At 37.5% G+C, this 24,979-nt stretch overlaps 1 protein-coding gene across 6 annotated transcripts in view, besides 1 other annotated feature; it reads left to right on the top strand.

Moving 5' to 3' along the window:
- Positions 1-24,979, top strand: part of EFL1 (elongation factor like GTPase 1) — a 132,502-nt gene that overhangs the window by 58,048 nt on the left and 49,475 nt on the right. The gene's annotated exons all lie outside the window — the stretch shown is intronic.
- Positions 6,368-6,427: an enhancer, noted in NCBI's record as "active region_9960". NCBI's record gives its function as "activates an Ori minimal core promoter by ATAC-STARR-seq in GM12878 lymphoblastoid cells {active_cell/tissue: GM12878}" and the evidence as "EXISTENCE:reporter gene assay evidence [ECO:0000049][PMID:35858748]".

The following is a 24,979-nucleotide window of genomic DNA, read 5'->3' as shown; positions in this document are numbered from 1 at the left end:
GAACAGATAGTGAGACATTTGACCTCTATTCTTAGTATTTTTGGCACATGACAGAATGGAGAAATAATTTGACATTTATATGGTTTCATGCAGGTTAGGAAGATATCCTTGATGGTTCACACAATAGTCTTTTGGTTGATAAGTTCAGATTTGATTTTTTCCAACAGAAAAGCAAGTGATTGTCAAAAGGGCTTTGAAGAAGGTGGAAATATACTCTCTTACGCCCATAAATTGATATAGTCTGATTGGAGTGCAAGTTGTAAGACAGGGGTAAATTGGTTAAGTAGATTTTTTTTTTTTGATTTCCAAAAGGAAAGGTATTTTTTAAAGACTATGAAGATAGCTTGGGGGAAAGGTGATTTTCAGTTATAACAGTAAGTATGAATTTTGAGTAGTGGCAGTTATTATAAAGACTTGGCAGGTCTTTCGGTCTTTCCAGAAAATGTAAAGTATATGATTAGGAGAAAGGTGATACTGGATAGAGAAACATGTTTCTAGTATGACCTGAAACATGACATGTGGCAGACATTAGATGTGAAGTAATCAAGGAAATGCATTTTAAAATCTCGGTGAAATGTCCTTTCATAACCATTAAAATGACAAAAATGTTAAAATCTGACAGTGTTCTGTGTTACAGATATGGAGCAGTTCAAACATTTGTAAACTGTTGTTGTAAATTGATACAACCACTTGAAAAAATACTTGACAACAGGATGTAGCAATCCCACTTCTAGGTGTGTATCTTAGAGGAGCTTTAAGTACACTCTTAAAGAGACAAGTACAAGGATATTTATAGTAGCACTGTTTATGAAAGCAGAAAAAGGGACACACCCTAAATATCCATTGGCAGAAGAATAGATAAGTAGATTATGGTGCACAATGGAATATTATACATTCGTGAAGATGAATGAAGTACATTATATGTATCAACTTCAGTCAGTCTCACAAATAGAATTAATTTTAAAAACAAGCAAGTTGCAGACCACTTATATAAAGGTTAAAAACATGTGGCCAGGCGCGGTGGCTCACGCCTGTAATCCCAACACTTTGGGAGGCCAAGGGGGAGTGAGTGGATCACGAGGTTGGGAGTTCAAGACCAGCCTGGCCAACATGATGAAACCCTGTCTCTACTAAAAATACAAAAATTTGCCGGGCGTGGTGGTGGGCACCTATAATCCCACCTACTCCGGAGGCTGAGGCAGAGAATTGCTTGAACCCGGAAGGCAGAGGTTGCAGTGAGCCAAGATTGCGCCACACGCCACTGCACTCCAGCTTGGGCGACAGAGCGAGACTCCGTCTCAAAAAAACCCAAAAAACAAAACATGTACATGCCATATATTGTTTAAGAACAGATATATATGCAATAAAAAATAAATAAATGCACAGAGAAATAAACAGTAAGTACAAGTTAATGGTTGTCTTGAGAGAGGACATGACTGAGGAGAAATACACAAGTATTAGTTAAGGTCTGTTTCTTAAGATGAGTAGTGGACCTATATTGTCTGTTTTAGTTTTCTTTTACCTGTTTTTATATCTTAAATATTAACGAGTTTTTTCTTCAAAAAGTTAGGGAACAGTCTGGGCGTGGTGGGTCACGCCTGTAATCCCAGCATTATGGGAGACTGAGGTGGGTGGATCACAAGGTCAGGAGTTAAGAGACCAGCCTGGCCAACATGGTGAAACCTCATTTCTACTAAAAATGCAAAAATTAGCCAGGTGTGGTGGAACATGCCTGTAACCCCAGCTACTCGGGAGGCTGAGGCGGGAGAATCACTTGAAACCGGGAGGCGGAGGTTACAGTGAACTGAGATCGCACCATTGTACTTCAGCCTGGACGACAGAGCAAGACTCCGTCTCAAAAAAAAAAAAAAATTAGGGAACACTATTAATATCTTTCCTTGAGTTTGCTGGTGGTGTCTTGTAGAATTTATCCCATATAATTGAGTAGAGAGGTAAAAAGTGTTTAATTTGGAAATAGAATATTTTGGGTTAAAATTCTAGTTCAGCTAACTTTTAAGCCTTGTAGCCCTGGGCAACAGGCCTCTCTGATCTTCTCTTCAACCTCTCTGATCCTCTCTTCTGCCTCACCGATCCTTGGTTTCTTATTTGTGAGCTGAGGATCATGGAAGGCAGCTCCGAAGATCCTGTGGGATGATGCACATTATTTCATTTCAAAAAAATATCAAAAAGCAAAATGTCAATTAAGCAACATAATTGTTATCACTGATTTCCTTGGGAAATATTATAATTAACAAATAGACCTCCAAAGTCACACATAAAGAAAGAAAATGATAAGTGAAGCACTTAATTATGAAGATTAAAGAATGCTTTCCCCTTTTAAAAAATGTCATTTATTTAAATGCAATTTTTTTTAATCCAAAGAATTTAAGTAGGCTACTAAAAAAAATAGGAAAAGAGTACTTTTCTGGGGGAAAAGTACTCTTTTGTTCTAGTGAAGTTGATCTGAAAGACGTCGTCCAGCAATATATGTAGAAAAGAAATCAGATTCACTGTCTGTTGCTGAAACTCTGACTTTCCCTCTCCATTCTTATTCAGTGTTGCAAAGATTCAAAACTTTTTGATAGCTTTTAAGAGGAAGTTTGAAATAGCAGAGGTGATAGAGGGAATTAGTTTTTCTGAGAACCAAGGCAAAAGGAGTGAATCCTTAAAACTCCTGAATTGTCAACATTGATGTTGGAGCCCCACTCCAGATTCGGGTTGGAGTGTGACTCCGCAAGTAGACATTTTGGAGAAGGAGGAGTGGCTGATGCAGAACCTGTGGCTTAAAGTAGGAGGAGGGAGAGAGTTTTCTACTGGGAGGCATATGTATTAATACAAGCTTACAGACAAAGTGGAGAAGGAAACAGTAGTAACCATATTGTCCCAGATTCTTCTCTGACAAGCCATATGCCTGTTCAACAAAGCCATTAGCTGTGTGGGGTAGATTCAGAGTGAAAGTTTGAGTTCTTTTTTTTTTTTTTTTTTTTTGCAAGAAGTTATTAACTATAAAAATGGGCATATGTTCTTCTAAAATGATATTCTGACAAAATAATGGTTCACAAATACAAAGCAGCCCACACAATTGCAGTATAATTTGTTTTATTAAAATAAAAGGATATATTTATTCTTTTAAGATATCGTTTACAAGGAAAATCCTCAACTGAACCTCCAGAATTATGTTAAGAGCAGTAGGGGTTGCAAGCACGTAGATTCTTCCCTGGAACACAATATATTATGGTCTTTTAAAAAACACTTGGCCTTTTTCTGGTTTTATACATAGAGTGAGGAGAGTTAGTTATCTTTGCTTAGGGAAGAAAGTCCCCCTCTCCTTTGTAGATGAGCACAGAGCTTTTACCTTCCTAACACCCAGACCTGCTGATTTAGAGAGGACTAACTGCAAATTCCCTAAGGACTGGGCCTCCCAAATCTTCACACTTAATTATTCCTGGTGAAGATCTCTTGAGTGTTCAATGTATATTGGTTGAATGCATGAATCAATTAATCACTTAATACGCTTAGGCGAGGGAATACATGAGCAGCCAGAAGCTATTTAGTGTTCATCATTTATTTTCTTCAAAGTTTAAAATATTCTCAGGCAGCCTTGGCAACATAGTGGGACCCCGTTTCTACAAACAATAGAAAAATAAAAAAACAGGCATGGTGGCACTTGCATGTAGTCTCAGCTACCCAGGTGGAAGATTGCTTGAGCCCAAGAGGTTGGAGCTACAGTGAGCTGTGATCGTGCCACTGCACCCTGGCCTGGGTGACAGAGTGGAACACTGTCTTAAAAAAAAAATTCTCAAGTACATAAGGGAGATAGAAAGTATAGAAATATTTCTTTAGAAGTGAATACATTGGCTTTTCAGTATAAATCTACTGGAATTTTAGGTGAAAGCAAAATACTTTCTTGGTCTGAACATTTCTTATTAAAGAATATCAGAGTAGTGATGTTTTAATGTGTTCGGATTATTCAACTCCCAGAGCCAAGATGATGTTATCACTGGGGATTTTTTGTTTAGCTCAGATAGTACACTGAAACTAACTGGTTCTTCCTGCCCTCACTGTGTTCTGGGAGGCTCCCAGGTATGTCCTGGACTGAAAAAGGTGAGGCCATTTGATGTTAAGAGAAGCAGAAATATTCTGAGTATCTTTCTGTTCTTTTCTCTGTGCCATGGTCCAGTCAACAGGAGGGGAGAACATTGTCCCAGGCTTTTGTAAAGCCAAGATTACCCCCCAGAAGCTGCTTGGAGCCGGTTTCCAGTCTCCTGAGCTAAGGTTGCTGCCAAGGGAAGGCAAGACTCAATTGCCTCTGCCTAAAGTTGTTATTTTGTATAGTATTCTCATAGGTGTGCTGTATAGACTTAAGCTCCACTACTGCTTTCCCTCTTTTTTAAAAAAATTCTCTTATTTTCTACCATTTATTTTGGCATTTGTACTCTTCCTTGTGTTTTTCTTTGAATGTTTTACGTTCTATAACTCTCATGTGCCTGGCTAAGCCTTTCTAGGGCATGACCCAGGTAATGCATAAGCTTGGGTATTCAGGTTTGTTTTTTTCCCGATGCATAGGTGTTGTGCCAGCACAGTATATCAAATAAACTTGCCCCTGCCCCTGCTTCCTTCCCCGCTGTTTCACTACCACGTTTCCCATACAACTGTAGTTTGTTTCTGGATGCTGTTTTCTATTCTGCTGTATTTGCAAGCCTGTATTGTTTGATTTTGAGGGTATCAATAATTCATTTTTGAATCTGGTTCTGTCACTTTTAGCTTTAATAATTGGGGGCTATTTTTAAACATTTATTCTATATAAACTTGAAATGATTTTATCTCCTGCGATACATTAAATGTCTATGTTAAGACATCTTATTTACAGAAGTAAATTATGACCACTCTTTTACTGTAAAGGTAATTATATAGAAAAAGCTAAGCAAGTTGCCTTCCTAGGGCTGATTCCTACAGGTGTTATCGGTGTATTCTTCCAGACTTCTATCTATGCATAATACATGCATACATAGTAAGAAATAAATTCATGTGTGTGAATTTAAATAAGTTCACTAGGGAGCTAAAGCTGGGACTGCAGCTTAAACCCAGCATTATGTTGTTCTGGTTTCTTTATTATTACCAAATAAATGATTTGAAACAGTTAAAATTATCCCAGCACTAGTTTCTTTTGAGGGAGTAGCCTTTTCCATTTTCATACAAGGTCTTATTTTGCGGGCCGCAGTCCTAGCTGTCTCCAATTGAGCCAGAAGGCAGCAGCCAGAACTACTTTTGCCTGAGGGTCTTCCCTGAGACAAAGACTTATGCCCTTGGCCTTCTTACTCTCGGATATTTGTGAAGCCCAGGATCTCTCTCTCTTTCTCTCTCTCTCTTTCTCAACTTCTGGAGCAACCAACTGCTATCTTAGTGTCATAAGTTAATTCTAATATACCTGGGTGGCCTTTAATCTAGTTCCATTTTTCAAAGTTTTTGGCTTTTGGATAAGACCTTTTCCTGCATTGACATAGCCTCTCCCTAATTTTATCTGTTTTTGGACTTGGGATTTGGAGGTGGAAGGATGTGAGAGAGGGAGGAAGGAATATAAGGTGTCTTTCATAAGCCTTCCTTTCTCAGGATCCAAAGATTTTTAAAAAGAAAAAAAGCAGGTTTTGTTTTTTTTTAATGCAGTGAACTATTTTTTCCTCTGAAAAGTGAAATCTTTATTGGCTTAATTTTATATCCTAATCATTTACTCACATTTATTTTGTGCTTACTATATGTTTGGTTCTATATTGATCACTAGGTTAGGTTTCTCATACTGGGTGCTTAGTCTTCCAAATTATTTGTAGGTGCTTCACAGTTTTGATCGCAAACTAGTAAATAAGGCATCCTCTGGTTGGAGAAACAGCACTGGATTTTACCAGTGGGACCTCTGGCAAGTTGGCCACTTTGTGGGAATTTCCAGACCTGAAACTGCATCTGCATAGAAGGAAGTTGAGGTAGATGAATCTCTATGGCCTTCCTTTCTCTCCTGGTTGGTTTTCCAGGACCCTTCCTCACCTTTTCCACTGTCCATGTCTTGGGTTTTCCTGTATTTCTTAGTTACGTTGCTGTTTTCAGTACCCTCTGTGCCCTCTTCTCTATCTGTGGGTTGCTTTAAGTGACATTCAGACAGCCAGAGGTCCAGAGGCCATTTGACATAGAGGAATTCCATCCTTCCAAAGATCTCTTCTCATAAGCAGGAGTTTTTTGTTTTTTAAACAAAACAAAATAGTTATCCTGATTGGATCCATGAGGACTAGCTCACTTGGCTGTGCCTCGGGAGAGGTCCAGAATGGCTTTCTTGGACTTGAACGAGCTCAGAAGCATTGGCACTTTCTCGTTTACACTGGCCTTGATTTTGGGTAGAGACTGAGCAGGCCGAAGTCCCCTCTCTGAAGCCATCATGGGATGATGGTAAAAGGCATCTGCAATGTTCCAGCTCTAGCAGGGTCACAACTGCACTGAGATGAACACAAGGGGGCAGCCTTTCCCACAGATTTTCATCAAATCACAGAGAAACAGAGTGCAATTTCAATGTCAGCGCATGCATGAGCCTGTGCTCTGTCCACACCAGTGCCCATGTGTAAAACGTGTAGCCTGTAACTGTTTATAAAGGGCCTTAGGGTTAACGGCATATGAATGCTCAGTAGATTTTGTGCTTTACTGTGCTACAGTTTCGTTAACACAACCCAGGACTTCTCATTGTAGGTTATAGACTATATCCCCCTGCCTAGCCCAGAGTCTTACACATGGCAGGCAGGCAGGTTGGCAGGCAGGGCAGGCAGCAGGTAGGCAGGCAGGCAGGCACTTTTTATTACTGGAGGCTTAGAGATGACTGAATCATTAATATAGAGGAGTTGAAATTGATTTAGCCTGCTGTTTCAACCTGAAGAATGACTTCAAAGCAGGCATTTAAATTTATTTTGGCCCTTTTTTTCATTCTCTTGCCCCTCCTACCCCTCTTCCAACTACTAAAGGCATTGTTTCAACTGTATATATTTTCTCTATTTTTGTTTTCTCTTCATCTTGGAAATTGAGTTATGACACCTTTGGTTGTTTCTAGTTGGAAAAAAGCATTATTATGAAAATATATGCTGTTTAGTGAGCAATGAAGCAGAATATAAAATATCACTAATATCCTGAACCCCCATGCAATTAGAAGCACATTGTCACTAGTTTTGTTTTATGTTTCCCAGATGACTGTTAATTTAGCAGTTCAGCACATAATTGCATTGATGATCATATTTCTAAGGATTTGAGTCTATTGATTCAAGTGTAGAATTGAAGTAAAAGTTGTTATTCCTTCACTGTTGTATCTGAATTTGTTTTATTATTTGACTCTATAATGACTGGAAGAAATCAGATATGCTTGGAAATCAAAGGTAAATTTTCTGTCCCCTGGGAATAGGGGTGGAAAGGAAAGAGGAACATTTTTTTTAGCTCTAAACAAAATGAGCAATTAGTAGATTTATTGTATAATAGTTGTTTTTCTTCAAAACCACAAGCCTTCAATTTTCTAAAATGACAATAGTAAATTTTCACTTTCTAAACAGTTTACATAATCAGTTTCACTATATTTGCATATATTTTGTTAACTGATACTAACAATGATGCCACAATTTTTTTTTTTTTTTTTTAAGTTGGAGTTTTGCTCTGTCGCCCAAGCTGGAGTGCAATGGTGCAATCTCGGCTCACTGCAATCTCTGACTCCTGGGTTGAAACGATTCTCCTGCCTCAGCCTTCTGAGTAGCTGGGATTATAGGCACCCACCACCATGCCCGGCTAATTTTTGTATTTTTAGTAGAGACAGGGTTTCACTATGTTGGCCAGGCTGGTCTCGAACTCCTGACCTCGTGATCCGCCCGCCTTGGCCTCCCAAAGTGCTGGGATTACAGGCGAGAGCCACCGCTCCCGGCCGAAGCCACAATTATTAATGCACTTGAAAGATATATCAAATTAGATTTAACCAACGTTTATTTAGTACCAACTGCATGCCAGGTGTTCACTGAGTCAGTTTTGTTTGTTTTCTTACTTAAGCCTTGAAACAAACTTTAGTGGTAAATTTCTCTTCATTTTGCATATTAAAAAACTGAAAGGATTTTGACTTGCTCAGCAAATTACACTATCCCAGCCATTGCTTATTAGCTATAATTTTATTTTCTGTGTAGTTGTATAGCTGAGATTATTTGAAACACTGTTACTGATTCTTCTCACTTACTATGATTATTAAAAATGAAAATATGCTCTAATGATTTTTGATACTCTGCATATAGAACCCTTGAGTTTCATAGGTTCTGTAGGCCCTTTCTCCTATAAATAATCTGAGACTCACAGAGAGGCTGGGTCTCCTCCAAGCTTGGGCAGCTGATAGTTTGAGAGTTGATCTAGAACCCGGGTCTTTCCCTTTGTAAGGGGCAAAACCACTGGAAAGGACAGGCAGAGAAATAGCTGGGCTCCTCAAAAGGAAGAGAGAAGCTGACAGTGAGGATTCGTCAGTTCTGCTCAGTTTGGAAAGAGACCCTTCACTGTCTGCTTCTTCTGACCTCCCTATGCTTCAGTTCTCAGCACTCCTGAATATACCACGATTTTCATGCCTCTGTGTCTCGGTACACGCTGTCTCTTCTCCTCAAGTGTTCTTTCTCCCTTCATTGCCAGCTAAATGTCACCGCCTCTTGGAAGCCTTCCCCAACTGCGTCAGACAGATACATCTGGCTCTTTCCTTTCTTTGAGTTCCTGTACTTCTTTTAATAGATCTCCCTTAGAACATTGATTCCTTTACATTGTTTGTGTTTTCAGTTAGTGTCTCGGAGCTCCTGGGGCAAGGGTCCTCATTCTTTAGGCATATCTCTGATGTTGAGCCTGGGTGCACTTTACTAGGATGCATGTTCAAGTGTGGGTGGGAATGAATAAATGAATGACTGTGTGCTCCCCTCCCAGGTGCTGCTTCTGAGCACAGAAATGGAATAGAAGTTTGAGCAGGAGGAAAATGGAGTCTGTGGAAGTTCTAGGAGATATTCTTACAGTTACTCATTAGTTTGTTGGCGTTTAGCTTCTAGGTTACATATGGGAAACTTGAGGGACAGCAAATCACAAAGAGAGACTGGAGGTCCAGCTTATTAGGAAACTTGAGTTTCTAGGATGTGGCCACCAGCTTGTGTACATCTTCGTTGATTCTCATGTTCACTGTGTTCCCCAAGAATTAATTTCTCCCAAGGGCCTACATCAGTTTAGAGTAGGCAACGAGGTTGGGTGTGTGTTTTTCATTAGTAGATATATTAATCTGCCCAGACATGAGATACACTAGCACGGTTTACAGCCTGAAAACACAGCTCTAAGAGTTTGTGGGTAACAGAACATTAGTCTTACTTAGGTCTTTCTAAATATCTTCACTCCTCAGAGTAACTTTGAGTGTTTTCTGGATTTGAGTTTGGCTCATTAAAGTCTGATTTCTACATAATTCAGATACATCCAGAGTTTTTTGGATAATACATTTGAAAAATTTCCCCTTATGAGGTTAGACAAGTTTATAACCGAAACCAAGTTCATTAAACCTATGCTAAAATATAAAATTGTCTTTAAGAAAAGCCCAAACAGGTAGAAAGTGACAGTTTATTAGTAAAATTATAACAATAATTTGAATGTATTGATATTGAACGCTACGTGATATAAAAATACATTATTTCCCAAGGTCACAAGTCATTACCAAGTTTAAGTTTATTTTAAAATATAGCAGATCCATAGTTTTGTTCTTTGTATTCATCATAGAATCTTTCTGTGTATCCTATTTTGTTTTCTTTGCCTCATTGATTACAAGATTCCGAAAACATTGACTACTAGATTTTGTGGAAAAGTAGAGAAGCTGAGCATTTGAACCCACTAACTTCATCTATCTTTTTGAGTAAAGCAAGCTATTTATTTTCATAACTAGGGAGGCCTTACAACGTGGGTTGCTGAGGACATCCTGTTTATGCCTGTCATCTTGGAGAAGTTATTAATAGTGTCGCCTTTCACCGTTTAAAATCGTAGCTCGGATGATAAGTTCTATGTGGTCACCCTTATTATCACTGATATATTCTGTCCTTGATTATTTTATGCTTTGATTTTAATAATTCTGTAAGTGCATTTTTGACTATACTTTTCTGCATTTTTAAATTCTCATGTTTTGGAAGGTATATCCTATTTTATTTCTATTAGTAGCTGCTTTTTGTGTTTTTCAGATCATTCTTTAAATGTAAGTCAGTACTGAAATGTTCTCCTTTGTGTCCTAGCAATTTAAGACTTAGACATTACAAGTTCTTTGAGAATGGCGCCGGATTCATTTTTGTGTCTCTGGCAGTATTTAGTAATCTGCTTTGCACAAAATACTCAAGAAATATTTATGGAATGAATCTTAGGAAGCAGTTTGGTTTTATCAAAATGAAGAGCGAAATTTGGTCTAGTCTAGAATGGTATAGATACCTCCCGATAAAGGAACTGGGATTGTGCTTGGGCTGAAGATCCAGTCCGCCCAATGGCACTACTGACCAAACCCAGCTGTGGAAAAGATTTCAATGATCTGTTTTAAACTCACCTAGGGACTCCCAAGTGAGTCTTCAGTAAAGTCTTCTTCAATTAAAGTTCTTTCTCTAAGATTACACTACTGCTAAGTATAAAGACAAAGGAATTTTCCAGTGCCAAGCAAAGACAGACAGAGAGTAGCCTGGTTCAGCCACTGTGGCTGCTCACCGTGTTAGCGACAGCACTGTTTTCCAGAATGAGGAGAGTGAAGGCGGCGAGTTGGGTGGGAGAGCCCAAATGCAACAATAGTTTGCACGGCATGTAAAGAGTTCTTGAAAGAGGTTGAAGATTTTTGTAAGCACATTCAATTGATTGAGCCATGTGTATTTCCAAATAATAGATTTGTCCTCTTAATTTAAAGGAGACATATAATAGAAAGCTAGGTGTAGTCCCTAACAGTCAATCACTTACGAGCCAGAGGAGGGAAGAATGACCTTTTTCAGAATTTAAGTTGCAAAATACACCTTGTCCTCTGATAGGCAGTTTACAGTGCCTGACAAAATGAGTCATCTTTTTGTTTTGCCAAATTTTACTCTAGCTAAGTGCCTCCAAGCTTAGGCAAAATAAAGACAAGTTAACTGTTCTTAAATGTAATAATGCCATGGACTCTCATGAATAGAAGCCTTTGATAACTAGAAAATAGTTATCTTTGACTTTGTGTTCAAAGTATAGGGGTTGCTTATCTATAAAGCTGGAAGGGGATATAATTGGTTATAGATAAGGAAGGATGTGCATGAATTGAGTTGAGGTACTTTCTAAGTCCTAAGTTACTGCATAGCTGCTTAATACAGTGTCTAATATCTGATGGTGGTGCTCAATATGTATTAATGGAATCTAAATTTCTTTCTCCACCAAGATCTCTGTCAAGTATATTTGATCATTAAGTTAACTGTTCCATTTTCAGGATCCAGTAGTCACAAACTATAGCAAAATCCTAGGGTGTTTTAGCTTTCATTTTTAAAAAATACAAAATTTGAATTTTTTTGTTTTAAAAGCAATACCTATTCTTTGTTAACAAATTTAGCTGGCACATTTTTATTTTGGTTTCACTCATTTGAATTTCAAAAGTTATATATGCTTATTGTGAAAATCCAGACAATAAAGAAGTGTCAAAATAACAGTCTCCTCATCTTTGCCACCACTTCTCTGACATAACCGTTGATCACAAATCACCTTATAGCCTTCCATAGTTTTTCCTGTAGTGCTCCCCTCTCACAGGTGCTTTTGTACTTTTTTTCCTACCTCTTTCTTTCTTTCTTTCTTTCTTTTTTTAATAAAAGTGGTATTGAATGTATTATCAGTTTGGTGCAGTTCAACAGATATGTATTGAGCTCTTGCTTACGTGGTGTCAAGAGCCACTGTGCTATGAGTGTGTATAATCTCTGTCCCTGGGCAATTTCTCAGATTCTCTTTTGTTGTATTTCAAATTCATTACTGTTGCTATTCTCTTTATAAGTTCACAAGGGCTTTCCACCTCATGGTGTTGTGAAACCCAAATAATGTAATGTTTATTAAAGCTCTTGGTTAAGCATAAAGCAGTGAGCTATGACTGCATGATTACTAAGAATTGGTTATCCATGAATAATTCTAATTTTTGTCACTGCTAAATCTGCTCCCTCTGCTTATATTTTAATTATTTCGGTAGGTTCCATACGTTTTCAAAACACCTCATTTTACTTACTGTATTTTTACTCTTTTTTTTTTTTTTTTGAGACGGAATTTCACTCTTGTCACCCAGGCTGGAGTGCAAGTGGGGCGATCTCGGCTCACTGCAACCTCTGCCTCCCGGGTTCAAGCAATTCTCTTGCCTCAGCCTCCCGAGTAGCTGGGATTACAAGCACCCATCACCACATCTGGCTAATTTTTGTATTTTTAGTAGAGATGAGGTTTTGCCATGTTGGCCAGGCTTGTCTTGAACTCCTGACCTCAAATGATCTGCCCACCTCGGCCTCCAAAGTGCTGGGATTACAGGCATGAGCCACCGTGCCTGGCCTGTAATTTTACTTTTACATACAATATGCCCAGCCTTCTTTGTCTCAGCAGATGTTTTTTAAAAATTCCTACTAGGTGTTATCTTTAACAATTTTTTTCTTCCATATTCTTGGCTATATTTGATAGACGAGATATAATAGCAGATATTATAAATTTCACTCTGTTAACATGTGTTTTAGAGTCTAAGATTTCTTCTAGCTTGTATTCCATGTTCATTGTTGTTATTTTATCGCTAATTAGTTACAGCCAGAGATTTTAACTCAGTCGCAAATATAAAGCTCTTCTTTGTCAGAAAGACCACACACACCTCTTGAAAAGTTACTTTCAGATTTGATCACATAATTTCCAAGTGTCTTCCAAGAAAGTGAGCATGATGGCCCTGAGTGAAAAACTGTGGCACTTGACCAAAACCTCAGTTTGTTTCTAATCATGTATGGATAGAGTGTAATTTGATTAAAGCTGACTGGCCTGAAATGATCCCAGTAAGATGCTGAACTGGATCTGGATGAAAGCACTCACTGGATGAGTGCTTGCCCTCATCCAAGCACTAAGGAATCACTGAAATGAATGAGTTTGGGATTTCATGTCGAAATCCATTTTTAATACTACCACCTTATGTTTTCATAGTACCGTATGCTTTTCAAAATGCTTTTATCTATAGTATTTGATCCGTGCAGTCTGCTTTTAGCTTCTATATTTCAAAGGCCAGTAATGGTTAGGTTGGAAGTAATACCTATCAGAATAGTGACTTTGAAACTTTGAAATCATTTCCAGGTGTTTTAGATAGGCTACATTTGAGTGATGAAACTTTAAACTTTCTTTTTTATAAAAGAAAACTTTACGCTTGAAGTAACCTTTTTAGAAATTAGTAGCCCCAAAGATTTCAGGGTGTGTTGTATTGTTCTTTTTTACAGTGAATGGGTGTAACTTACTGCAATGTGAATAATGCATAGTATTTGTAGGGAAAAGTAGGGAAGTAGCCAAGGAGAAAAGATGGGACAAAGAAAACTGTGAGTTTTCTTTAAATATCTGAGGAGATGGAAAGGAATTTTAAGCAATTACTTGACAAAATAAACTCCCCCCCCTTTTTTTTTTATTACAGTAGGGATACCAATAAGATGGAAAAACAAAAATCAAGGAAAGTTGGAGAATAAAATAATACCTGCACAGTATATATATTTTGGTGGCATTGTTGAGGCTGTACTTGTGATCTAATATCCATTTTTAAGTGTTTTGTAGATATTAAAGTTAATTTGCATACATACGTATGTATCTGTATATATACACATATAATAAATCCAGATATACATGTATTATATATCTATGGATAATACACATACATAACACATGTATAATAGATGCTCCTATTAATCAGTATTATCACTTAGTTTACTCAAGACCTGGAATATATATTTGGAACAAAAGTAAAATCCCTTATTGTGATTCTACTTGCCAGCCACTTACTATTTTATACAAATTATTGGATCACTAACATGGCAAATAAATTTATAATAAAACTAAAATCTATCCTCCTTTTTTTATGGAGACCACCGATTTGAACACTTACACACTATCTGGCACAACTCTTTATGACTCACAAAACAAACATGGATACTTCCCTCTCTTGGAATGAACATAGAAGAATCCATGGATATATAGAAAGATGTAGCATTCAAAAGTAAAGACCAATTTGACCGACAAAAGTGATATTTCTGTCTGAAACAGACTTCTTGTACAAAATAGGAGAAAACTGAGAAAAATGAGTTATTACTCAAAGTAAAATTAAGAGGGCATTGCATTGATTAAAATCAGAGCAGATAAGAAAAACAAATGAACTGAGAACAGAAAAAGTTAGTGGAAATTAAAAACATGGTTACAGAATTTTAAAACAACGCAGTGAGGAACAGATTCAATACTGAAGAAACCTGAATTAGCGAGTGAGAAGAAAGCTAAAGAAATTCTGATAGAACTCAAAGGAAAGTAACATGAATTTTTTTTTTTTTTTTTTTAAGACAGAGTCTCACTCTGTTGCCCAGGCTGGAGTGCGTGATCTTGGCTCACTGCAACCTCCGCCTCCCGGGTTCAAGTGGTTCTCCTACCTCAGCCTCCCAAGTAGCTGGGACTACAGGCACGCACCATCCCCCTCCGCCTAATGTTTGTATTTTTAGTAGAGACGGGGTTTCACCATGTTGGCCAGGCTGGTCTCAAACTCCTGACCACAGGTGATCTGCCCACCTCAGCCTACCAAAGTGCTGGGATTACAGGCGTGAGCCACTGTGCTCAGCCCAGTGAAAATTTTAAGTGAAAAGACTGGAAACATGAAAAATAGATACAGATAATTCAATATAAATAAATGTATATACTAATGTATATGTGTGTGTGTGTGTTTATACTGGGAAGAATAATAAGAGAGAATTTTTAAGGACTTGGGCTCTCATTGAAAGAACACCCTTACTAACAGGCATAGTTGGAGTACAGGGGAGACATTGGGAGAAAGAAGACCCTTAACCTAGACCTTGAAATAATCCAGAGAAAAATATGAATTTGAAGACTAAAGAAAATATTCTAGAACATCCAGATGGTTTGAAGCAGGATGCCCAGTTTAAAAAATAATAGTTAAAGAAAAGAAAATGAAGTCAACATCAAGCATCTCTTCTTGGCTGCAGAATTTGAGAGGAAAAAACATGTGATTCATGAATTGTCTAATCTTCTAGACTCTTAGAATGTAAGCTCCATATGGGTAGGGATTTTTATCTGCTGTTCCCTACTGTACCTCTTGTATCTAGAAAAACATTTAGCATATGATACTTGCTCAGTAAATACAGTCATGCATTGCATAACAGTGTTTCATTCAGTGAAGGATTACGTATATGATGGTGGTCCCATAAGATTATCATACCCTATTTTTACTGAAACTTTTCTGTGTTTAGATACAGAAATACTTACCATTGTCTTAAAATTGTGTATAGTACTCGGTACAGTAACACGGCGTATAGGTTTGTAGTCTAGGAGCATTACACACCATATTGGCCTAGGTGTGTAGTAGGCTGTACCATCTAAATTTGTGTGTAAGTATACTCTGTGTTCACAGAGTGATTAAATTGCTTAAGGTTGCATTTCTCAGAATGTGTTCCTGTTGTTAAGCGATGCATGACTGTATTTGTAGAATGATTGGATGCATGAGCAAAAAAAAAAAAAAAAGCATAAACACATTCTCTAACATTGCAAAATCTCACAAACTTTACCATTGATATACCTTTCCTTTTAACAAAGAACTGCTTAAAATAGTACTGCAGCTAACCAAGAAATGAATTATAATGTGAAACAACATAGAGGAAAGAATAGAGAACAACAAAACTATTAATGTGAACAGGTTAAGCCAACTAAGTGTTTATATAGTTTCTCAAGCTTAGGTCTTTTTAAAAATAATTGTTGAAAGGGAAGAGGCACATTGTTTTAAAAAATCTGAATGTAGAATCTTTGTTTTAACAAGACCTGGAAAGTAGATAGAGTAGGGTTGTAAGGTAAAAGAAAAGTTAACTTAAAACACATTGAATTTTTAACTTTTCCCCACGAGGAAGCAACGGTTATAACATTGTTCTTGATACAGGTAGAGACAGATAGATTTAGATTTTCTTTAAGGCACTCACTAGTCAGAGAGAGAAATAAGATATGTAATTTCCAATTAAGTGAAGATTTCTAGAAAGGAATGAAGAAAACTTCATTTGGTAAAACAAAACATAACAAAAAAACTAAGAGGAAAAAAGATAAGAAAATGGAAGTAGGCTAGACCCAAGACCAAATATATTACCACAGTAAATGTGAAGGAACTTAACAACTTAATTAAAAGACAATGACGCTTATATTGGGCACTCCAAAAAACTCAAGAGAATCATGCTGTTTGCAGGAACCATGTGAAATAAAGCAGTTCAAAGTTTGAAAATAAAAGATAAAGACAACAATTGTTTAAAGTAAACAATTTTGTAAAGATAAAGATACAAATTTAGTGTTAGGTAGAGGAAATTTCAAGAGGAAAAGCATTCAACAGGACAAAGAGTTATATTTTATTAAAGAAAAATTCAATTGGAACTAAAATTATAATGGTCATAAGTCTTTATGTCCCAAGTAAGGTAGCACTGAAATACAGAGTATCCTAAAAGTCTGGAAACACAGGGCTGTTTTTTTCACTGTTATAGTTATTACCGTGAAATATAGGACAAAATCTCAGTGTATATTGCTCCAAAGAATAATGATAGAATAATATGACTGAGATTAAGTCAAAGTAGATTAAGTAGGTAAAAAAGAGTAAAATATAAAAATTTAACAAATATTCCCTCCTCTAGACATTTTAGATACTGTGCATATAAAGCAAAACATTAAAATAAAAATTAGAATTTACAGAATAGAAATTGTATTAGAAGACTTGGACATGCCTTCCAGAATTTGACATGTAAATTAGGTAGAGGATAAATATGGAAATAGAATATTTAAATAATACAAACAATAAGCTTCGTTTAATAGGTAGATATAAAATTTTGTACTCTAAGTAGAAATTAAATTTAAAAATTGAATTTACTAGGTCACAAGAAAAGTTTTAATAAAATCTCCAAAATATAATGTGCACAAGCTATTATTTTCTGACCAAAATAAACTAAAACTCAAAGTTAATAATAAAAAATTGTTCAAAATAATTCTAATCAGCTAGATATTAAAATACAATCTCCTAAGTCACTCTTAGAGCAAAGTAGAAATTAAATTTGCAGTTACAGAGTAGAGCAATCCTTTGGTTTAAAACATTTGCATTTCACTTTAACCAAACAGCTTAAGGATAAATTACGCCTATTTTACAATATTTGTTTTCGCTATTAGAAAGAAGTGAAACTGAAGCTCCAGGCATATGTCACAATGTTGGCCTCTTTGCTCATTGACAAGTGCCGCCTCTGTAGGAAAGCACTACAGTAGCACTAGTGCTTATCATCCCCTGCAAACTTCCTTTGTAAGATGATGTATAATAAAGAACATTTTTTCAATTACTCTTTAAAATGGATAAAAATAGCTTCTGTAAGAAGGTATAACAAAATATCCAAAGGGCATGGTAATGTCTACTCAGAGTTCAAGGAAATGACAAACAACATACCTCTAGAAATTAGTCTAAAATCACTACAGGCTGAGGTTCCAGTGAGGGAGTGCTCAAAAGGCTACCTAAGAAGCGCCTGAATTATTGAGGCGCTGAGATGTCAGTTCCAGGGGACCTGCAATTTAGAGCAAAACAAGCCTCGATCATCAAAGAGGACTCAAGTACTGTGAAGGTTCTAGACTAGAAACAGATACAGGAACAAGACCAACACTGAGTCATGTGGGACTAGAACCTCCAAAAGGGTGGAATAGAACACTCAGGTCTGGAAATGGAAAAGGAAAACTGTCGGCTCATAAGAGCAGATTGCTAAATTTTCAGGAAATTTGTTAACCAGTTGTTAAACTTGGCCATTATTAAAGATTAAATCACATAAATTTATAATCGAGTTAATTATGTTAAAAATAAAGGCAATGAATGCTTAAATGGAGCAAAAAAAAGTGGCTAGCCTTTCTGACAATATCAAAACACAGTGAAACTGGAACACCTGGTATTTGGAAATGATTCAGTTTGTGAGAGAGTGTTTAACTGCCAGAGCATCCATTCTTTTGCCGTTTTCTATGGTTAAGAGATGTGCTTTTTAGGTTGGGCTTTACTAAAGAGCCAGACAATATAGTACTTTAGGCTAGAAGATTTTTGTGTTATGTTAATGGCCTTTCCCCCTTATTGCTTTTTGACCTTACCCCTTGCATATTATAGATATTAATTAAAGATGGAAAGGAGCGTGCCTATATGGATTTAAACACTGACAAAAGTCAGAATTCAACATATCAAAGCCTTTAGATGTGATTCCAAAACTCTGAGTATAAAAAGCTAGCCTTTGCTTTTATTATTTGGTAAGAAAAAAACAAGCAACTATTCATTCCACTGAGGTAATCAGAGAAAGAATGACAAGTCCCCCCTTACAAAAAAAAAGAAGATACTAGTAAAGAAAAAAGCAAAAATTAAATTTTATACAACAAAATTCCCTAGAATTGATAAGTAAATAGCAGATGTATTTAAAAAGATGAGTACAATAGTTAAATGTCTCACTGAGGAAAGGGGAAAACAAGCAAGTTAGGAATGAGTGGGAATGAAGTAATAAACATAGAGATTTTAAATTTTAAGAAAATACTGTATACTTTTCAAGGCTAATTAATTTCCATATGCAAATACGCCCCTTGATTTTCTAGGGAAAAAATGTTACAAAACTGTTTCAACAGTAGAGTCCTGAATATGTCAGTAACTAAAGGTATCGAGTTTTAGTTTAAATTTGCTTTTACTATTAAAGAGGTTGAACACTACCTTATATGTAAGTTGGCCACTTGTATTTTTTTTAATTGTCTGTATTCTTTGGCTGTGTTTTTAAATTGTGGTATTCATTTTCTGATTTATTGGTAAAAGCTTTTTATAGGAAGCTATTCATCTGTGTTCTGATAATTCTCTTCCATTTTTGACTTGCTTTTTAACTTTGTTTATTTGATTTTTTGCCATAAAAGTAAAAATTTATGGGAAAAGTTCTAATTTTTTAAAATTTTTTTCTGAATGTCTTTAAAGTATTTACAAGTTGGATTTTTTGTTTTTGGGTTTTTGGCTTTTTTCTTTTTTACTTTTTCATTTATGAAGATATGCATTTTAATTTTATTTAATAGTCACACATATGTGTCACTTTTTAATCCATCTAGATTTTTATCTTGGTTTATGGTATGGAGTAGAGATACAATTTTAACTTTAATTTGTTAGTTTTGAAAGTAGGTGACCCAGTGTTTTCACTCCGTGAATTGAGGAACGCACACACACACACACACACACACACACACACACACACACACACACAGCCACACATGAAACATTCCTAAGGATTTGTATGTCTTCTGAGTTGGGGTAATATGTATGTGTGAGTTCATTTGTAAATAGTCAAAACTTAACTTTGTCTCTAACAGACAAAATCCATTGTAGCAGGGGATATAAAAATAGATTTCTTTCCTTTTCCTTCACTAAAACATTTGCTTCATGTTAGCACAGTCTGGGGAAATGAAGGTCTCCTATTTATTAGCTAAACAATGGACTTACTATTCACACTACTCTAAGTTGTTCTTGTCTCTAAATCCTCAAATAATGAAACTCTACATTTCTTTGTTTTTATGATTGCACATGTTTTCACCATATAGTAGATTGTTTCACTCTATTTCATCCAATAATCCCTTATCTGTCAAATTGTGAGGAATTTGGGAGTTGGAAGTTTCATCTTCTTCCTTACAGTTTACTTAGCTTCCACTTCTTTTCCAAATGTGGGGGGAAAATTCCCAAAATAACATGAACATGAAAGGCCAGAGAAAACCATTTAGTAGGGCAAATATCTATGCTAACTTGGGCAGTTTGCTCTTCATCTCATTTTAGACTATGCTTTTAGTTTACTTTTGTGGTTGGTCCTGCTGGGAAGGTACAGGTGGGTGCTGCTTTAATGTGAAATGTGACTTATGCGGTAGTAGAAGGAACAGGTTCCTTCTCCTCAGGGAGAGGACTCACTGTGGTAATTAATGCTTACTTCCACCAGGCAACTGAGCTTATGGTTCACAGGTCAACCTGATTGCAGGATTTTGTCTTTTCCATTGTTATAATACCTTTCCTGGAGGTAATTAATGCTTCTAAATCACTCTCTGAGGTTGCTGTAAATGTGTGCTACCGGTCATGGTTTGAACTTGCTTTATTACTTACCTCATGCTTCTGCAGTTTTCCTGTGGGTACCAGGACTATTGTTTACTGTCCAGAATCTTGTGTATCTCAACTACAGATCTTTTGCACAGTAATATAGCAGTTGGACCTTTCAAAGATAGACATTTATAATGACTTTTCTAACAGATGCAAAGATGATGAAATATTTTGGCTAAAAATAATTATTAACCACTGATTATAGTGACAGCTAGTAAGACTAGGTCACTTTTCTTAGCCACTATCTAGCCTGATTCACATCTTTACCCACCTCTGAGGTCCCAGAGTTCTGAAGCCCCGTAGAAAGTAAACCAAAACCATGGACACAGGCATGAAGGCATGACCAGTTCTAGCCACTGTTGAAAGGTGAGCCCTCTATTACTAATACATACTGCTCAAGTATTCTGCTCTTGGACTTGTAAGATGACCTGATATTGTTCTAGGCAGACTTCCCAGTGCTTTGCAGTTTTTAGGGAATCCTGTGCTTGGTTTTATTTTAATGCTGGCTTCAATAACTCCCTAAGAAACTTAACTAGCTGCCAACTGACCCTATTCACAAACAGAGAACACAAGGGCCTATTGTAAATCCAGTGATAATATTCAAAATGGCTAAATATTCAGTGCCTCAGAGCTACAGAATACATTTTGCTAGACCATCTTTAGAACCTTTATTATTACATTTCTCCCAGCTCCTTCCATCAGATTTAGGGAGGGTGGTGCAAGTTATCACCAAACCTGTTCTCAGCTGGCCCCTGTTGCTGTCTGTGGAGCAGTAGTGTGACATATTCAGCAGAGCAAGGACAATTGGGCCAGTGATTATTAATTCTGAAAGATGCCCTTAAGTGGTGTCATGAAACCAGATCTGGAGGAGGCAAGGATTTCCCCCCAAAATAAGGAGATTAACATCCCAAAGGAGGGAGTGAGAAAGCTGCCTGCTAAAAAACAAACTTTGCTGCCAAGTTTATTTTTATCTCATGTGTTTGAAGATTAAGCAGATGTACCCTGAAATATGCAATGCTTTGTTTGAGTTACTCAAGAACACAAAGTTTACTTTAAGGACAAAATTATTATATGATTATCAACTTTTCTTTCTCCCTACATTTGAGACATTGGTACTTTTTGCCGCTGAGTATATAGCCAGAGGGCTTCTGTGGTAAAATTCTCTGGACAAATCCCTGGTTTTGCCATCTCCTCAGCAAACCTCGGTATCAGGTGGGCTGTCACCTCCCAGTTCCCCTTCCTCCTTGCTGGCCTTTTTCACCTGCAGACTTCCTTGTTGTCTTTCCACCTCAGACCCTCTAAAAATGCCCCAGTACCAGAGCAGCTCCAATGCTGGCATAAGGTTGGATGCCTAATTTTCCTCACGATTGTTCGTACGCTGGTGCCTTCACTGGCTGACTGTTCTGACTTCATACCACATTTTGGCTCCATGTCCTTCATACCTGTAAAATATGATTCTTTTTTTTTTTTGAGACGGAGTCTGGCTCTGTCGCCCAGGCTGGAGTACAGTGGCGCGATCTCGGTTCACTGCAAGCTCTGCCTCCCAGGTTCATGCCATTCTCCTGCCTCAGACTCCCGAGTAGCTGGGACTACAGGCGCCCACCACCACGCCCGGCTAATTTTTTTGTATTTTTTAGTAGAGATGGGGTTTCACCGTGTTAGCCAGGATGGTCTCGATCTCCTGATCTCGTGATCCACCCGCCTCGGCCTCCCAAAGTGCTGGGATTACAGGCATGAGCCACCGCGCCCAGCCTGTAAGATATGATTTACAGGCATCTTGCCATCCTCTTTGGCCCAACCTGTCGTTTCTAACAGAATAATACTTCAGATATAGGTGACCATTAAAGGAACCTGTTACTTTATAAACTGTCCCTGTGCTTCATGAAGGAAAACCTAAGATTGAGTTAGCAGCTACTTCAGACTATTAGCTCACACCAAACCTATTGTCAATCACAAACTGAAGACCTTTTCCCACACAAATAGCTGCCTAAAAATATATCTGTTTGTGCAATTGGTTGGTTGTTTGTTTATTCTTTGAGACAGAATCTTGCTCTTTCGCCTAGGCTGGAGAGTGCAGTGGCATGATCTCAGCTCGCTACAACCTCTGCCTCCTGGGTTCAAGCGATTCTTGTGCCTCAGCCTCCTGACAGCTGGGACTGCAGGTGTGTGCCACCACAGCTGGCTAATTTTTGTATTTTTAGTAAAAATGGGGTTTTGCTATGTTGACCAGGCTGGCCTCAAACTCCTGACCTCATGATCTGCCTGCCTCAGCCTCCGTAAGTGCTGGGATTACAGGCGTGAGCCACCGTGCCCAGCCACAGCTGATTTTTTGAACTAAATGCAATGCTTCATTAATTTTGTACATGGAGCACGGAGGGAACTGGAAGTTTTTAGAGGGCGGGAGGTTATGAAAAAAGAAGTATTTGGGAAGATGTGATAGCCAGCTTTCAAGAATTTAAAGGCTTGTGTTATGCCAGAAAGTAAAACTAGAAGCAGTGGTGTTATAATAAGGAACGTGATTTGAATGTAACACAGGAAAACTGGGAAGAGCCTGAGGGATGGAGGCACAGTGTCACGTTCATTGGCCTACCAGAGAACTTGTTATGCAGGAGATGTTCATGATGAATAAGTGAATTCATATATATATATACACACACACACACACACACACATGCACACACATAAATTAGAATTCATGCTTTTCATCAGGAAAATATGCTGCCATACTTTCCCGATGAAGAGTGACCATCTTCTCTTGGGGATATTATGAAAGAGATTCCACATTGCAGGCAAGTTGTTTTAAAGCAAGTAAACTGTCAAGCTCCTTCCACTTCTAGAGCTCTGTGTTTACATGGTTGTGTTTTTCTCTGTTGTTACTGAGGATAGTGAATGTATATCAGGTAACAGATATTTTTCTGTCCATCCCATGTCAAGTATAGTCACAAAGTTTGAAATGATTTTCAGAAGCTTTAAATATTATTTTCCTGGATATGCAAAATGCAGAAATATAAATTAACTTCAATCTTATTGGTCATCTGGAGAGCATTTTGTCACAGTCAGTTATATTTAGGAAAAACCATATATTGAGTTACAGAAGGTACCATATATAAATGAAAGGGAAATTTGCTAATAGACTCATAAGACCCTAGGTATTTAGAGCTTAAAGTAACTTGGGATACCATTTTATCCATTCTATATTTTTTATGAAAGACTTTTTAAGAATCTAGCTGATATTCTTGATAATTGGTCAATTAAAAAAAAAATTTAGGCCAGGAGCGGTGGCTCACACCTGTAATCCCAGCACTTCAGGAGGCCGAGGCAGACGGATTGCTTGAGCCCAGAAGTTCGAGACCAGCCTGGATAACATGGTGAAATCCCTTCTTTACAAAAAATACAAAAATTAACCAGGATAGTAGCCTGAGCTTGTAGTGCCAGCTACTGAGGAGGCTGAGGTGAGAGGGCCCCCCTGAGCCTGGGAAGGTAGGGGCTGCAGTAAGCCATGATTGAACCACTGTACTCCAGCCTGTCTTAAAAAAAAAAAAGAAAGAAAAATTACCCGTATACCATGTGTATCTTCTTACCAAGTATACCAAGAAGTATACCTTTTTATGTTAAAAGGGGAGAGGGAAGGATCTTATATGATTAATGTTATTTTATTCTACTTTACTTTTTATAAAAATCAAAATATATCTTAGTGTTTTTTTGCTACTGGATCATAGAATTTGTTGTCACATTCAGATTGACCATATGATTTCTCATGGCTGAATAAATTTTATGTTTTTCTAAAACTAGTCCCTTTTAATGGATAATTAGTCTATTGCCATGGTCATTGTTTTTCCTGTTTGAGGCAGTGTTTCAGTGATAATCACTATATTTTATTGTGGTGGTGGTTGGCTGGTTTTTTTTGTTTGTTTTTTTTTTGTTTTTTTTTTTTTGCCAGTTTAATCGCAGTTACTGCTTCATTTTAACCAATATGTAACACAAATTGGGTTCACTCATTCAACAAATATCTGTGGAGGATCTGCTAGATGCCAAGCATAGCAATTCTGGTGAGTATCTGAGTAGAGAGACAGTAAGGCCATAGTGAGTAGGAGTTGGGGAGTGGGGACGGGGAAGAGTTAAGAGATTAGAGAAAAGAAGATAGCATAGCTGGAGGTGCTGAAGCAACACCTGAGGTCTTCCTAAGTGTGATCAGTAGAGGTGTGGAAGCTGGGATAGAATAGAGTTAGTACTCTCTCACAGTTTCCTTGCCTGATTCTATTTAGATTGTCAAGGTACTTAGTCCCTCACTTAGTTCCAGTCAATGTTAGTTTTAAACCAGTTTTACCTGTAGGGAGATATTTGTAGACCAGGGACCTAGTATTTATTTGCCCAGCACTTTTGCTCTTCTGTAAGGATGATTCAGGGTTTAGATACTGGTCTCTTTGGAATTATTGTTTCACCCTCTCCACCTTGATGTCCCCGCCCCCCGCCCCGTTTCTGTGCATACCCAGCCATATAGAAGTGAGGGTGGACCCCTGCCTCTTTGTCCCCACCAGTTAGTCCAACTCCCTTTTCCTTCTCTACCAGCCACATTTGGCATTTTTA

Source organism: Homo sapiens, chromosome 15, assembly GCF_000001405.40.
Source record: "Homo sapiens chromosome 15, GRCh38.p14 Primary Assembly".
NCBI classification, from domain to species: Eukaryota; Metazoa; Chordata; class Mammalia; order Primates; family Hominidae; genus Homo; species Homo sapiens.
This window is presented reverse-complemented; position numbering and strand designations above follow the sequence as displayed.